Raw genomic sequence first — 12,864 nt, 5'->3', positions numbered from 1 at the left:
GGGGAAGGGGCACCTGGATGGTGCTGATGACCATCCCTTGCAGCAATGCTTAGACATTGCTTCCTGTGGAAGTCTCCCTGAGCCCTAGCCCCTGACAGGGAGGGCCCTCCTCTGGGCTCACAAAGCCCCTGGCCCCACCAATGCTTGCCTAATCACAGCACTGAGATGCCCCTCCTGGTAGACTGCCCCAGGGAAGGGCCTGGACTTGATGCATGTGAGTACACTCAGCTTGGCACCTAGGATGCTACCTTCAGGGGAGAAATGTTTTTGACCCAAAATGAACTGTGGGGCTCAGGGTAGTGGCCAGAGGTCTGCTAAGCACCAAGCACCCCCACTTCAGACATGGCCTTGCCCTGTCCCATTCCCCTCTCAATCAACTGGCTTCCTTAAGAACTAACAGCCCAAAGACAGGCCCTAGAAGACCCACTGACTTGGTGCCCAGATGCCAAGTCCCAGGCATGCCTCTGCCAATATTGTGGCATTTGAGAGCTCAGTTTTCTCTGCCCAGAGGTGGGGCCCATCAGGCTGAGCCTCATGCTGAGGTCTTGCATTCTAAGAAAAGCCACTGCAAAAGTTTAGCACCCTCTAGGTAAAACATCCTATTCTCCAAGGGGCCCTAGAGCAGCTGATGCATGGCTATAATGCGCCCTTCTGCAGGGATGCTGCAAGTACCTGGTAAGGACCAGAGCAGGTGGATGCATCCTTCATCACACCACAGAAGGACCTGCCATCTGATTTTTCCTGAGCTCCTGCAGGTTCTTAAAGTGGGATTCAGCACACAACTCAAAAGCGACACCTTGGATGTGATAGAGTGAGTGTTCCCAGTGGAGACGCTCCTCTCCCCTAGTCTTGGCCTCCAGCAGTACCCAGGGAGACAGGCACCCCATGAGCAGCAGCCCCTCACTGAGGTCAGCTTGGCTGGAGACAAAGCATCATCCCTCTGCTGACAGAGGCTGAGGAGGAGGCTGGGGCACTAGCACCTATACTCTGAGGCACTGGAGGGCTCAGTCAGCCCTTACTTGGTGGGCCAGGCACAGCAACCTCAATGGGGAGCAGAGAATTATGGGTAGAGGAAACTGACGACAGCTTGAAAGAGGCAAGGCAGAGTTGGACTGCATAAGTATTGGGGACTGAGTAGAAAACCTTGGCCCAAAAGCTGCCTGTATGGAGAGGGTAGCAGGGAGGGGGATTCTAGGACAGCAGAGAATGGCTGATGGCCGTCCAGCACTGGCCACACCCACCAGTCAGCCCTTGTCACAGTAGCCCTGTCTGCTAACAGCATGTGTGGAAGCTGCCTTTCCACTGTGTCCTCATGTGCAGAGGGCTTGGGCCTTCCCAAGAGGAGGACGTATGTTCACCCCCTGAAAAGCCAGAGGGAGTCCTGTCCACAGCTGGGGCTCTCCGCCAGGGCCAGGACTAGGGTGAGGGGAATGAGGCCAGTGAGGTGTTTTTTTTTTTTTTTCCTCGGGGTGCAAAATTTTAGGGGGTGCCAAAAAAACTCAGTAACGGAGATAAGTAATATTTAACACAATAGTTTTTAAAATAAAAATTAATGCAAAACTATCTGTAATGAACAAAATATCCAAATATCAAATAAAGACAGGATCCGTGTTGCTGATTTTTCAGTTAGCCTCAGGCTCCAATATGGCTCGGCATACCACTATTACTGACTCTATTTAAAATCTGGATATTTCCTTTATCACAGGTTTTTTTTTTTTTTTTTTTTTTTTGCATTAATTTTGACTTAAAAAAATACATCTCAATATTACTCATCTCAACTACTGTGTTTTTTGGTAGCCCCTGAAATTCTGCACCCAGGCCAGTGCCTGACTGGTCTCTCTTGCCCCAGCCTTGCAGACTCCCCTGAGGAAGTCCGGACTCCTGCCTGGAGCACACGCTCCCCTCTAACCTCCTGCGCACTCAAGCCAACCTCACACATGCCCAGTAATGGGCAGCCTGCCACACCTCCAGGGGCATCCCTTAAGGCCTTTCTGGCCCTGAAGACTCAGGTTTCTGATGCTCCTTGCCTCACCCTGTGAGCTGGCATAGAACATCTCTAAGGGGGGAAGGAGATGCCCTCATTGAAATGAGGGAGAAGGTGGATGAGGGGCTCCTTCCTTTTGTCCTCAGATGACCCAAGCCAAGTGCAGAAGGCGAGCCTCCTCCCAAAGCTCGGCTAGTCCCTCCACCAAAGCCAGGATCAGAGCCCACACCTGCCTGGCCAACCCCTGGCACTGATGATGCCTGGGTGCGGGTTAAGCTGGGAGGTGAGATGCCAGGGGGGTGCTGTTGGCTGGGTCGGGGGAAGTCGGGAGGGGGCGCTGCTCCGTGCTTAGCAGCTCCGGGGAGGCCTCCAGGAAGTTCTAAGGAGGGGCCCGGGGGGCCCGGAGCAGTTTCCAGTGGCCAGGGGTACGCGCGGCCGGAGGGGCGCCGGGGCCGTACTCACCGCGGCCGTTCTGGTTGGGCCGGTACACGCTGCCCACGCTGAGGCGGCCCTGCTGCGCGCCGTTCCGCTCCCCACCCGGCGGGGGCGTGTCGGAGCTGCGCACCGGCAGGTAGGGCGGCTCCAGCGCGCGCGGCGGCCCGTACGCCTCGGGCGGCGGGTTGGCGTAGGGCGGGTACCAGCCCAGGCGTGGGTCTCCGCCATGGGCCTGCGCCGCCTCGGGACCGGGGTCAGGGTAGGCCTGCTCGAAGCCGGGGGTGCCCTCGCTGTACAGACTGTGCGAGTAGCGGCGGTCCAGGCCGTCGGGGGGCGGCGGCGGCGGCGGCACGTAGGGCCTCTCGGGGGCCGGGTAGAAGCCCTGAGGCGGGTACTCGGGCAGCTCTTCGCCGCCGCCGTACTCCTCGTAGCGCGCCCGGGGCTGGTAGGGGTAGATGACCCCCGCCGAGGCCACGGCCGCCGCCCCCGCGCCCACGCCGCCGCCCGCGGGCCGGTAGTACACGAAACCCTGGTCGTAGGTCCGCGACGCGGGGTCGTAGTTCTCGTACTGGCTGACGAAGGGCGCCTGCGGGTAGGGGAACTGCTGCGGGTAGGAGGGCTGCTGGCGGTAGGTGCTGGCGAAGGCCGAAGCCGAGACCGAGGAGGCGGAGCCCCCGTGCCGTTGCTGGGAGACGGAGGTGCGGGCCCGGGCCATGCCCGTGCTGTCCCCGACGGCCACCTCGCGCCAGTTGTCGGGCACCTGGCCAAAGCCGAATGGGTGCCGCGCCTGGCCGCGCACGGTGTCCGAGCCCACGCGCCCCGGCAGGGGCAGGGACGGCGCCTGCCGACGCCGGGGGCTCCCGTGGCTGCGCCGCTGCTGGGCCTGGGGCGCGCCGGCCAGCAGCACCCGGGAGCTACTCTCGGAGCGCTGAGGTCCGGCCGGCACGTACTCTGAGCCCGAGTTGAGCAAGCTGTACACCTGCCCGTTGTTCTCCCACTGGATCAGCTGCCGCCAGCGGGCGGGGTCCGAGCCCTGCCCGGGCTGCGCCTGCTGCCCGTGCACCAGCACGCACAGGCAGGCGCCCCACACCAGGGCCCCCAGCTGCCGGCTGCCTCGGGCCAGAGCCATGGTGACCCCTCTGCAGAGGCCTGGTGGACAGAGAGGCTCTCAGGAGTGGCCCCCTGGGCGTGCTTCTCTTCCCACGGCCTCGAGGACAGGAAGGCTCCTTGCTTGCCCCAGCTCTAGCTTTGTCCATGCTGGCCTTGTCCCGAGCGGGACGGCTCCTCCGATGACAGCATTTCAAGGCCAAGGGGTCAGGGCAGGGCAGGGGCGGTGCCCAGGGCTGCACGAGGCTCTCCGCAGGGCACCGGGCGGGCAGGACCGCCTGTGGGCCTTACATGGCCAGCCCCGCACTGGCTGGCCGCTCGGCTGGCGCTTTCCCACTCTGAATGAATAAGCAACAGGCTGGGAGCGTCGGGAGGCTTCGGCCTCCTGGTCCGCCTGCTGGGGCCTCCTCCGCGGGGCCCTATGGCCCGCCGGCTTTTAGCTATGCGCCGGTCCCACAGCTGCAGTGCTCCCTCAGTCCCTGGAGTTCCCAGCCAAGCCACAGACCTGCCTCTGAGGAAGGGAATCGAGCAGGGAGTAGGAGGGGACCTCTGGGGACTCGGGCCTGGTAAGTGGGGCTCTGGCAGGCAGAACGGGGCTGGGGTGTCAGCACCACCCCGCCCATTCCTCTCTGCTTTGGTCACAGCATCCCTGGTCTCCACCTTGCTCACTGGCTTCTCGTTTGGGCTGGAATGGGCCTCTGACTCCTGTCTGCCCCAGCCTCCTTCCCGTACTCCCGGGTTCTCCCTTTTCCTTGTTCCCTAAAGCCAGTGCTAATTAAGACACACCCTCTTTGCATGTTCCTTCCACCATTATCCCACACCCTCAATAGGAAGAAAAAAAAAAAAAAGACACACCCTCTTTGTTGGTGGGCCTCCTCGGGGAGATGCTGAACAGGGACCACTCTCTAATTCCAGGTCCCAGGTGCACCGCAGCTCTTGGGCCTGCGAAGAGAGGCACTGGAGCTGCACCTTTTCCCTCGTGGCACACCTCAGGGGCTTACTTTCCCAGTCTGAAGAGTGGGGTGTATCCCTGAGCTGAAAAGCACTTGTGAGATCCTGGGAGAGATCAACTTCCCAGACATCACGTATGGTTTCTGTCCTACATCTCTTGGCTCTGCATAGCCTGGGAATAACTTGAGTGTACACATGGATAAAATGAAACTGGGGGCTGTCTTTGATATGGGACAGGGGTCACTGTGAGGCAGAGAAGCCAGTAAGCATTGAACAACAGAAGGGGGTTCCGGAGACCTGGCCTGGTCCTGTTGCTGTGTGGCTTAGTCCCTTACTCTATCTGATCCAGGTGCCACGGCTTACCAATGGAAGATTAGGCCAGATGGCTCCTGAGAGTGCTTTGGGAGATTCTCTGTTCCTTCTGGGAATGGCAGGGATAGGAGGGGGTCCCAGAAGTTTGAACGCTTTGGCATCCAAGAAATCACACTCCAAATACTGCTCTTCTGGCCTCCCCTGGGCTGCCTTCTCCAACCGTGTTCCTGGGAACCGAAGGGCAGAAATTGCCCTCTTGGGCTTATAAACAAGGTATGAAGGACCTGTCCTTAATTTGGCTCCTGTATATTCTTTATTTTGGAAATGCCTGGAGCCCACCTAGAGAGGAGGCAACTAGAGTGGACATTCTTTGGGAACTATAGACCTCCCAACCCCATCCTTGCCAGGCAGCATTTGTTCACCCATTGCACTGTTCTTCAGGACTGAGGCTTGGACTCCAGCATGTCTCTACCCTTTAAATGCCCAGAATCCAGCCCAGAGGTAGGGGGCTTCCAATACCTCCTGGCCAGCAACTTGTCAACGCTGACACCTCAGCTCCCCAGCATGGGGTTTCCATCTCAGACTCCAGACAAGATTCCTCCAAAGAGCCACTGGTGTGACTGACACCAAGCAAGATGCTGAGGCAGGGCTTACTGAGGGCCGGGACCTGGAGGGTTAAGCCTTCCCTCCCTCCTGCTTGCCCCCTGCAGTGTTGGCCTCAGCTGCTTGGAATCCCTGGGGTCCTGTAGGGCCCTCCCGCCAGCCAGATGGGCAGCTGCTGCAGCAGAGGAGGGGGAGAAATGGAAACAGGCCTCAGGGTACCCCTAGGCAGGGAGGGAAGGGAAGAGGAGTGGAGGGAGGACAGAGGATGGCTGTGAGGAAGGGAACTCAGTTGCCCTAACGTGAAGGCAGGACCCCTCGCCTTGACTCGGACAGCAGGGCAGGGGCTGCCTCAAGGCTTTGGATGTGGGGGGATCAGGGCACATGCCATTCCACTCAGCGGGCCTCAGAGCCAGCTCTTGGCGTGAAACCTTACCCGATGCTGGCTCCTGCTCCTCTCTCTTTTTTTCTTAATAAGGTCGAATCAGAGTGAGTCAGAGGAGCCAAGTTTCCTGTTAGGCTCTATTTGAATAAACTCTGCTCTGAACATAGCCTGGGCCTCTGCACAGACTCCCCTGGCCAGGACTGCGCTCCTGCCAGCCATCCCTGCTGAGATGGAGACCTGGGGGTCCACACCATGACTTGAGCTAGGGACCTGGCCTGGCCCAGCCACTCCCCGGGGAAGCTTTTTAAGCTCTCAGAGCTTCAGAGTCCCGTCTGTGACCTGGGGGTAATCATACCTTTCTTGTGGCATATTTGAGAGGATGGAATGAGAGGATTATGAAAAGTCCCCAGCACAGAGCCAGACATGTGGCCACTATTTTCCTTCTTTCCTCTTGACTTGTGAGAGAAGGGAGGGATTTATCTCTTGGGGTTGACCCCCACTCCCACTTCCTCTGTCTTTCCTGTTTTTATCTGTCTTCAGCATCTTTCCTTGCTCAGGGTGAACCTTGTGCAGGGGGGCCAGAGGTGGCCCCTCCACCAGAGCTGTCCTCTCCCTTCCTCTCTACTCCCTCCTTCTGACCTCATTCTACTTGGGTTTAGGTCTCCTGCAGTGGCTGACAGGCCCAGCAGTTCTGTGAGCCCAGGGGAGCCTGCCTTCCATCACCTCTCCTCATGCTGGGCAAGGCCTTGCCTTGGTGGCTGGAGGTGTCCTGGCATCCTTAGGTTGAAACCTGCAGGGTGGGGTCCTAAAAGAGACCTGGGCAGGTTATGGAGGGTGCAGAGCTGGGGTCAAATGAGGGCGTGGACTCGAAGGCTGAGCTGAGCCAGAGCTGTCTGGGGTGAAGGGCAGCTTCTCTCTCCGCCTGTCCCTGCAGGCTGGGATTCACACCCACATTTTTAAGACCCAGGCATGTGCTTGAAGCTTGTTGCCAGTTCCTGGCACTAGGAACCGGTGTCAAGGGACCCTCGGAGGGGTGGTGATAGAAGGATGAAAGAGCCTGTTGATTGCGCATGACTTTATTAAGCCCCTGCCACGTGCTCAGCTCTGTGTTGCCGGGGCTCCCACGGAGCAGCCAGGGTCCTGTGACCCTGTCATGGAAGGCTGAGTTCTGGAAAGTCCATGGGGGAACCAGGAAGCAGCAGGCCTGACCAGCAGCGGGTCTGGGGAGCAGAGAGGGGTCAGGAGCTGTGGGATTCCTCCCTTGCTTTGCAGAGGGACGTACTAGGAGGCCCATGGTGGGTCGGAATTTTCTGTGATAGTGGGGATGCCAAGAGGGAAGGCCCCAGAGCACCCAAACCCTCCATCTTCCAGGCTGCGCTGTAGATGGGTTTGGGGCAGCACTGGGAATCCAAGACCCAACCCAGGCAGCTGCTGCCTCTGGAAAGCGGGCTGGAGGAAGTGCTGAGTGAGGAGGCTGGGCGAGCTGGCACAGAAAGTGCTGACTCTGCAGGGAGAGGACCACCGAGTGACCACTGCCAGCTGGGCCCCGTGCCTACCCCTCCCCTGCAGCCACATCTGGCGCAACGGTGGGGTGGGGGACCCAGTCCCCAGGGCCGAGGTAGCCGAGGAGGGGGCCTGAGGAGGGGGCCAGAGCCATGGGTTTGGAAGTGTTTCTTCAGGGCTGGAACTCCACTCCGGAAGTGGGGGAGGTGAGGTCAGAGCCTTTTCGAGGGACTAATGGGGTTGGGGGTGGAAGGAACCCACCCTTCTCTAGGACCCAGGAGAATTCTGTGGCTCTGGCTACTTCCCAGTCGGTTTTCCTCCCAGCTCTCTGGGTCCCCTCCCCTACGGCTCCCAGGGGATTTGGAAATAACCAAGCTGATACAGTACTCTGGGCATTCAGGTTGGGCTCTGTGGAGGCGGGAAGCCGCCTCAGCCCCTTAGAGCTTCTCCCCTCTCTGACTTTCACCCCTCCCCAGAGTCTGGGGCAAGCAGGCTCCTGTCTCTACCTCCACTTCCAGCCCCAACCCCTATCCAACCCGGGGGCCCTGAGCCCAGAGCCAGTGGAGACAGGAGCCGATTGTCATTGCAGGAATGAGGACCAGCTGGGGAGAGAGATCTTCTCCCAGGGACCTGCCTTGGCGGGGGGATTCTGCATAGTTGTCTGGGGCCTTCTGGGTGGGAGGGCCCTGAGCTGGCATGCTGTGGGGGTAAGAGGAAACTGTCCCCTGCCCGAGGGAGAGAACTGACAAAACCAAGCAGGGCGCCAGGCCCTTGGGACACAGTCCAGCAGAGACCTGCAAATCTAGGAGGGAAACTAAGGCAGGAACCCCTGGTTCTCTCTGCTAACATCCTGACAAGTTAAGGGAGGGCTTGTGCTCTCTCTCTCCTTTTCTTTTTGTCTGTAAATTTAACTTTCACTGGGATCTCTCTGGGTTTCTCTAGCTTTTTCTTTGTTTGTTTTTGTTTTTTTTAAAAAAGCATAGTCTTGCTATGTTCCCCAGGCTGGAGTGCAGTGGATTCACAGCAGCCTTGAACTCCTGGGCTCAAGCCATCCTCCTGCCTCAGCCTCTGGGACTACAGGTGCACATGACCACGACCGGCTTTCTATAGCTTTTAAATTTTCTGCAGTAACCTCCCTCCACCTTATTCGTTCATTTTCTATCTGTGGCCAAGTCTGTGACTTGCAGCCTCCATCTGTCTCCATCTGTTTCTGTTCTTCCTCAACTCTCTTTCACACTCCCTCCTGTCATCTCTATCTGCTGATGCTTCTACCAATGAACGATTCCTTCATTCATCCACTCACTCACTCACTCAGCATGTTCCCTGGGTATCTGTGGAATACCAGGCCCTGTGCTGACTGCAGTCATCACAGAGAGCAGCCAGACCTGCCAAGTTTCCAGTGGGTGCCCAGGCTGGTGGGGGTGTATAAGTGATAGTCCTGGGTGGAGGTGAAGACGTGGCACTGACTCTCTGTGACCTTTGGGAGGCATTTCTATTTCAGTCTCCATGTCTGTCTGTCTGTCTGCCCATTTACCCATCCATCTCTGTCTGTCAGCGACTCAGTCCTTGGTTCACCTTCATGAGGTGGCTTTTTTTCTGCTTTCTCAGAGCTCATGCAGTTTACTCATTTCCCCCTGGTGGGGGTTGGTAGTGGAGCTGGAGAAGGGGAGGTGGTGTGGGGTGAGACTGGATGTGGTGATGGAAGTGACAGAGGTATTCCAACCAGAGGGGCTCCATCTTGAATGGGGACTGGGTAAAATGAGCCTGAGACTTACTGGGCTGCATTCCCAGGAGGCTAGGCCTTGGTAGTCACAGGATGAGACAGGAGGCCCAAGATACAGGTCACAAGCACTCCACTGATAAAACAGAATGCAATTAAAAAAAAAAAAAGCCAGATGGCTGGGCATGGTGGCTCATACCTATAATCCCAGCACTGTGGGAGGCCGAGACGGGCAGATCACCAGAGCTCAGGAGTTCAAGACCAGCCTGGCCATGGTAAAACCCTGTCTCTACTAGAAATACAAAAAATTAGCCAGGCGTGGTGGTGCGCACCTGTAATCCCAGCTACTCGGGAGGCTGAGGCAGGAGAATCACTTGAACCCAGGAGGCAGAGGTTGCAGTGAGCCGAGATCACGTCATTGTACTCCAGCCTGGGCAACAAGAGTGAAACTCTTGTCTCAAAAAAAAAAAAGCCAGCCCAAACCAAGATGGTGATGATCATGACCTCTGGTTGTCCTCACTCCCCATTGTACACTATCATATCACATTAGCATGCTAAAAGACACTCCCACCAGTGCATGACAGTTTACAAATGCTGTGGCAACATCCGGAAGTTACCCTATGTGAGCTAAAAGGAAGGGGAACTCTCAGTTCTGGGAACTCCCTACCTCTTGCCCAGAAAACTCATGAATAATCCATCCCTTCTTTAATATACAATCAAAAGATAATCATAGATGACAGCTAACCAGCAGCCATTGGGGCTGTTCTGCTTATGGAGTCGCCATTCATTTATTCCTTCACTTTCTTAATAAACTTGCTTTCACTTTACTCTGTGGACTTGCCCCATATTCTTTCTTGTGTGAGATCTAAGAAGCCTCTCTTGGGGCCTGGATCGGGAACCCTTTCCTGTAACAGAAGGAGCAGGCCCTTGGGGCCAGTGGAGACTAGTTTTGCCCAGCTGGGTTCTGGAAAGGAAAGGGCCACAGGGTGATGAAAGATGAGATATCAGCAATCTCTCCCTTAAGTTTTTTTGTAATACAATTTTTAATCTCAGATTACAAAAGAAATAGGTCAATTATAGGAAATTTAGAATACAGAGTAAAAAAGAAAAAGTAATTCATTCTGTAACCTAGAGAAAAACCATTGTTTTAGGCTCCACCCCCCCACTCATTTAAAAAAACAATTAGGATCATAGTGCCTATGTCATTTTACAAGCTGCTTTGTTTGTGTAATAACAGTTGATGAACATTTCCTTGTCTCAAGGTAACTGCCGTTTCAATATTCATATTGATCACAGGAGCTCCTGCCTGCCTGGATGAAGAGGAGGTCAAGACTTTGTCCCCCACTCCGCAAGATACCCTCTCTGTTCCGGAGCGGTGGGTCCCTCCCCTGTTAGGACCTTGTCTCCCTCAGGACTGGACCTGGATCCTGGGCCTGCAGTCAGATTGCCAGTTTCACTTAGAGGTGGAAATGTCAACCCACTGGTTGGAATGGGAAGGTAGGGTGTGGGGTCGGGGAGTACCTTCATTTCTATCTGCCCAGGAGGCCAGCCGCTTCCTGCATAGCATTTCCTTCCTGCAGTATGGGAAGGACCAGGCTTTCTCAGACCACAGAATCTTGAGAGCCATTTCCACGTGGAGCAAGTGGTGGCTACCAGCCTTGGGTCTACATAACTAGGGCCTCATCCCTGGCCCAAGAATCCTGCTCCACAGCCTTCTTGTGTCCCTGTAGGAGGAGAAACACCTGGCAACTTAAATTTTTTAAAATAACTTTTTTTTTTTTTTGAGACGGAGTCTCGCTCTGTCTCCCAGGCTGGAGTGCAGTGGTGCGATCTCGGCTCACTGCAAGCTCCGCCTCCCAGGTTCATGCCATTCTCCTGCCTCAGCCTCCCAAGTAGCTGGGACTACAGGCACCTGCCATCACGCACGGCTAATTTTTTTGTATTTTTTTAGGTGAGACAGGATTTCACCATGTTAGCCAGGATGGTCTTGATCTCCTGACCTCATGATCTGCCCACCTCGGCCTCCCAAAGTGCTGGGCTTACAGGCGTGAGCCACCGTGCCCGGCCAAAAATAACTTTTAAAAACATGAGTATAGCATACACACACACAAAAGTCCACAAATCCTAGGTGTACCACTTGATGAATGATCCCAACGTGAGCACACCTCTGGATTACCACCTGGATCAAGAAATAGGACATCACAGCAGCTGGCAGCTTCCAAGGAGAAGCTCTGGAAAGTTCTGCCTGTCTCAGCACCTGGCTGGATCGGAAACGAGTTTTCTTTAACCAGATTTTTAATGACTGACTTATGTGGACAAATCATAACTGAATGAATCACCTCCTTTGTTGATTTTTTTGGGTACTTTATTTGCTATTATAAATGATGCTGTAATAAGCACCCTTGAAGAAATCTTCATATCTGCCTCTCCTGTGTAGCAGGTCACAGTGCCTGGGTTTGGTTCTAGCCCTCATTTGTGAACTGTGTGACTCACCATGCCTTTTTTCTTTCTGTAAGACAGGAATAATGGTAAGAATTTAAATGGGGGTAATATGGAGCGCGTTTAGTTCAGAGCCTGGTGCATACAAGCACTCAATAAGTACTGGCGATTATTAGACCTTTAGATTAATTTATTAGAAGTTGGATTTCTGGTGAAAGGGTTTGAGTGTTTTTGAGGCTTTGGCACAGAATACCCAGCTGGTCCCAGAAAGGTGGTTCCCATTTACCTGCCCGAAGGTAATTCACCCTTACTGATACTGAGTACTGTTTTCTAAAAGAACATTAAAAATTGGATAGGTTAAAAACAGGTGAATACATTTTTTTAGTTGCATTTTTTTGGTTACCCGTGAGAGTGAACATGTTGCCATGTGTTTGCTGACCTCCTAAATGGTCTATTTGCTCCTACCTTTGTACCCCAAAAGTCTGCTCTCAAGATGGTAGCCAGAATGATCCTTTTTGAGACATAAGTCAAAATTTCACTCTTCTCCTTAAAGCTCTGCAATGGTTCTCAGGTTAAAAGCCAAAGTCCTGTTCAAGGCCTCCAGGGTCCTCACCACTTGGTCCCTTGCTCTTTCTGTTCTAGCCAACTTGGCCTTCTCCTGCCCCTCCGCCGCACCATGGCAATTTCCCCTGCTCTGTGTGGTCAACTACCTGAATCTGTTCAAAGCTTTGCTCAAATGTCTCCTTCCTGATGAGACCTCCCCAGCCCCTGAGCTCCCCATGCCTCACTCCTGATCGCCTTACTTAACCCTTCTTTTTCTTTTTTGCCAGTAGTACTTATCACCGTCTAAAATACTTCATAATTTACTTGTTTATTGTTTGCCCCTCTCCAATAGAATGTAAGCTCCTTGGGGCAGGGACCTTTGTCCTTTGTCTTGTTCACTGCTGTGTCCCATGTGTAAACTTGTCTGGCACAGAAGAGGTGCTCGATAAATATTTGTTGAGTGAATGAATGGTAAATTTTCTGTTCATATTCTTTGACTATTTTCTATTGTAATGTTCATCTTTTTAGTATTGGTTTATAAGATGTATATTTAGCACCTTTTCATATATCACTCTTTGTCACATATTATGCAACTAATTTGTCATTTCCATCAATTTTTAAAATACTTTCTTGATGCTTCATTTTTAAGCTGTCAGATTATTAATCTTTTCTTTATGGTCTTGGACTTTATTGTTGCATAACCGCTGCCTTCACCAGGAACATATAAATTTTCAATTAAATGTTCTTCTGAGATTTTATGATTTCACTTTTTATATTAAACTCTTCATTTTGTCTTCATGTGTGGTGAGAGGTAAGAACATAACTTTAAAGCAAATTAACCAACTATCCCCAAATGAATTATAAATAAATTAATCATTTTCCAAT

General features: G+C 54.0%; 1 protein-coding gene and 1 long non-coding RNA gene across 8 annotated transcripts in view, besides 7 other annotated features; one reads left to right on the top strand and one right to left on the bottom strand.

Annotated features, from left to right (window-relative positions):
* The window catches only part of LOXL1 (lysyl oxidase like 1), a 25,675-nt gene extending 21,805 nt beyond the window's left edge, over positions 1 to 3,870 (bottom strand). For all 3 annotated transcript variants that reach the window (NM_005576.4, XM_047432498.1, XM_011521555.3), the window contains exon 1: positions 2,447 to 3,870. In NM_005576.4, the coding sequence (NP_005567.2) occupies positions 2,447 to 3,548 (1,102 nt within the window). In that variant the 5' untranslated portion in view covers positions 3,549 to 3,870. The remainder of the gene's footprint in view (positions 1 to 2,446) is intronic.
* Positions 1,697 to 2,530: an enhancer, noted in NCBI's record as "H3K27ac-H3K4me1 hESC enhancer chr15:74220143-74220976 (GRCh37/hg19 assembly coordinates)". NCBI's record gives its function as "activates a minimal SCP1, AML or CMV promoter by ChIP-STARR-seq in naive H9 embryonic stem cells {active_cell/tissue: H9 hESC(naive)}" and the evidence as "EXISTENCE:reporter gene assay evidence [ECO:0000049][PMID:30033119]".
* Positions 2,084 to 12,864, top strand: LOXL1-AS1 (LOXL1 antisense RNA 1). Of its 5 annotated transcripts, none has more exons than NR_040067.1 (4): positions 2,546 to 2,678; positions 4,827 to 5,062; positions 10,294 to 10,372; positions 10,949 to 12,864. It is a non-coding gene; the product is annotated as an LOXL1 antisense RNA 1 (long non-coding RNA). The 5 variants fall into 5 exon arrangements; NR_040066.1 differs by having other exon boundaries at positions 10,294 to 10,494; NR_040069.1 differs by lacking the exons at positions 2,546 to 2,678; positions 4,827 to 5,062 and adding an exon at positions 2,084 to 2,267.
* Positions 2,363 to 2,412: a silencer, noted in NCBI's record as "silent region_6642". NCBI's record gives its function as "represses an Ori minimal core promoter by ATAC-STARR-seq in GM12878 lymphoblastoid cells {active_cell/tissue: GM12878}" and the evidence as "EXISTENCE:reporter gene assay evidence [ECO:0000049][PMID:35858748]".
* Positions 2,503 to 2,622: a silencer, noted in NCBI's record as "silent region_6641". NCBI's record gives its function as "represses an Ori minimal core promoter by ATAC-STARR-seq in GM12878 lymphoblastoid cells {active_cell/tissue: GM12878}" and the evidence as "EXISTENCE:reporter gene assay evidence [ECO:0000049][PMID:35858748]".
* Positions 2,503 to 3,364: a biological region, named in NCBI's record as "H3K27ac-H3K4me1 hESC enhancer GRCh37_chr15:74219309-74220142".
* Positions 2,531 to 3,364: an enhancer, noted in NCBI's record as "H3K27ac-H3K4me1 hESC enhancer chr15:74219309-74220142 (GRCh37/hg19 assembly coordinates)". NCBI's record gives its function as "activates a minimal SCP1, AML or CMV promoter by ChIP-STARR-seq in naive H9 embryonic stem cells {active_cell/tissue: H9 hESC(naive)}" and the evidence as "EXISTENCE:reporter gene assay evidence [ECO:0000049][PMID:30033119]".
* Positions 6,403 to 7,388: an enhancer, noted in NCBI's record as "H3K4me1 hESC enhancer chr15:74215285-74216270 (GRCh37/hg19 assembly coordinates)". NCBI's record gives its function as "activates a minimal SCP1, AML or CMV promoter by ChIP-STARR-seq in naive H9 embryonic stem cells {active_cell/tissue: H9 hESC(naive)}" and the evidence as "EXISTENCE:reporter gene assay evidence [ECO:0000049][PMID:30033119]".
* Positions 7,389 to 8,376: an enhancer, noted in NCBI's record as "H3K4me1 hESC enhancer chr15:74214297-74215284 (GRCh37/hg19 assembly coordinates)". NCBI's record gives its function as "activates a minimal SCP1, AML or CMV promoter by ChIP-STARR-seq in naive H9 embryonic stem cells {active_cell/tissue: H9 hESC(naive)}" and the evidence as "EXISTENCE:reporter gene assay evidence [ECO:0000049][PMID:30033119]".

This window comes from Homo sapiens, chromosome 15 (genome assembly GCF_000001405.40).
Source record: "Homo sapiens chromosome 15, GRCh38.p14 Primary Assembly".
NCBI classification, from domain to species: domain Eukaryota; kingdom Metazoa; phylum Chordata; class Mammalia; order Primates; family Hominidae; genus Homo; species Homo sapiens.
The sequence above is the reverse complement of the archived record's forward strand: the minus strand, read 5'-3'. Positions and strand labels throughout refer to the sequence as shown.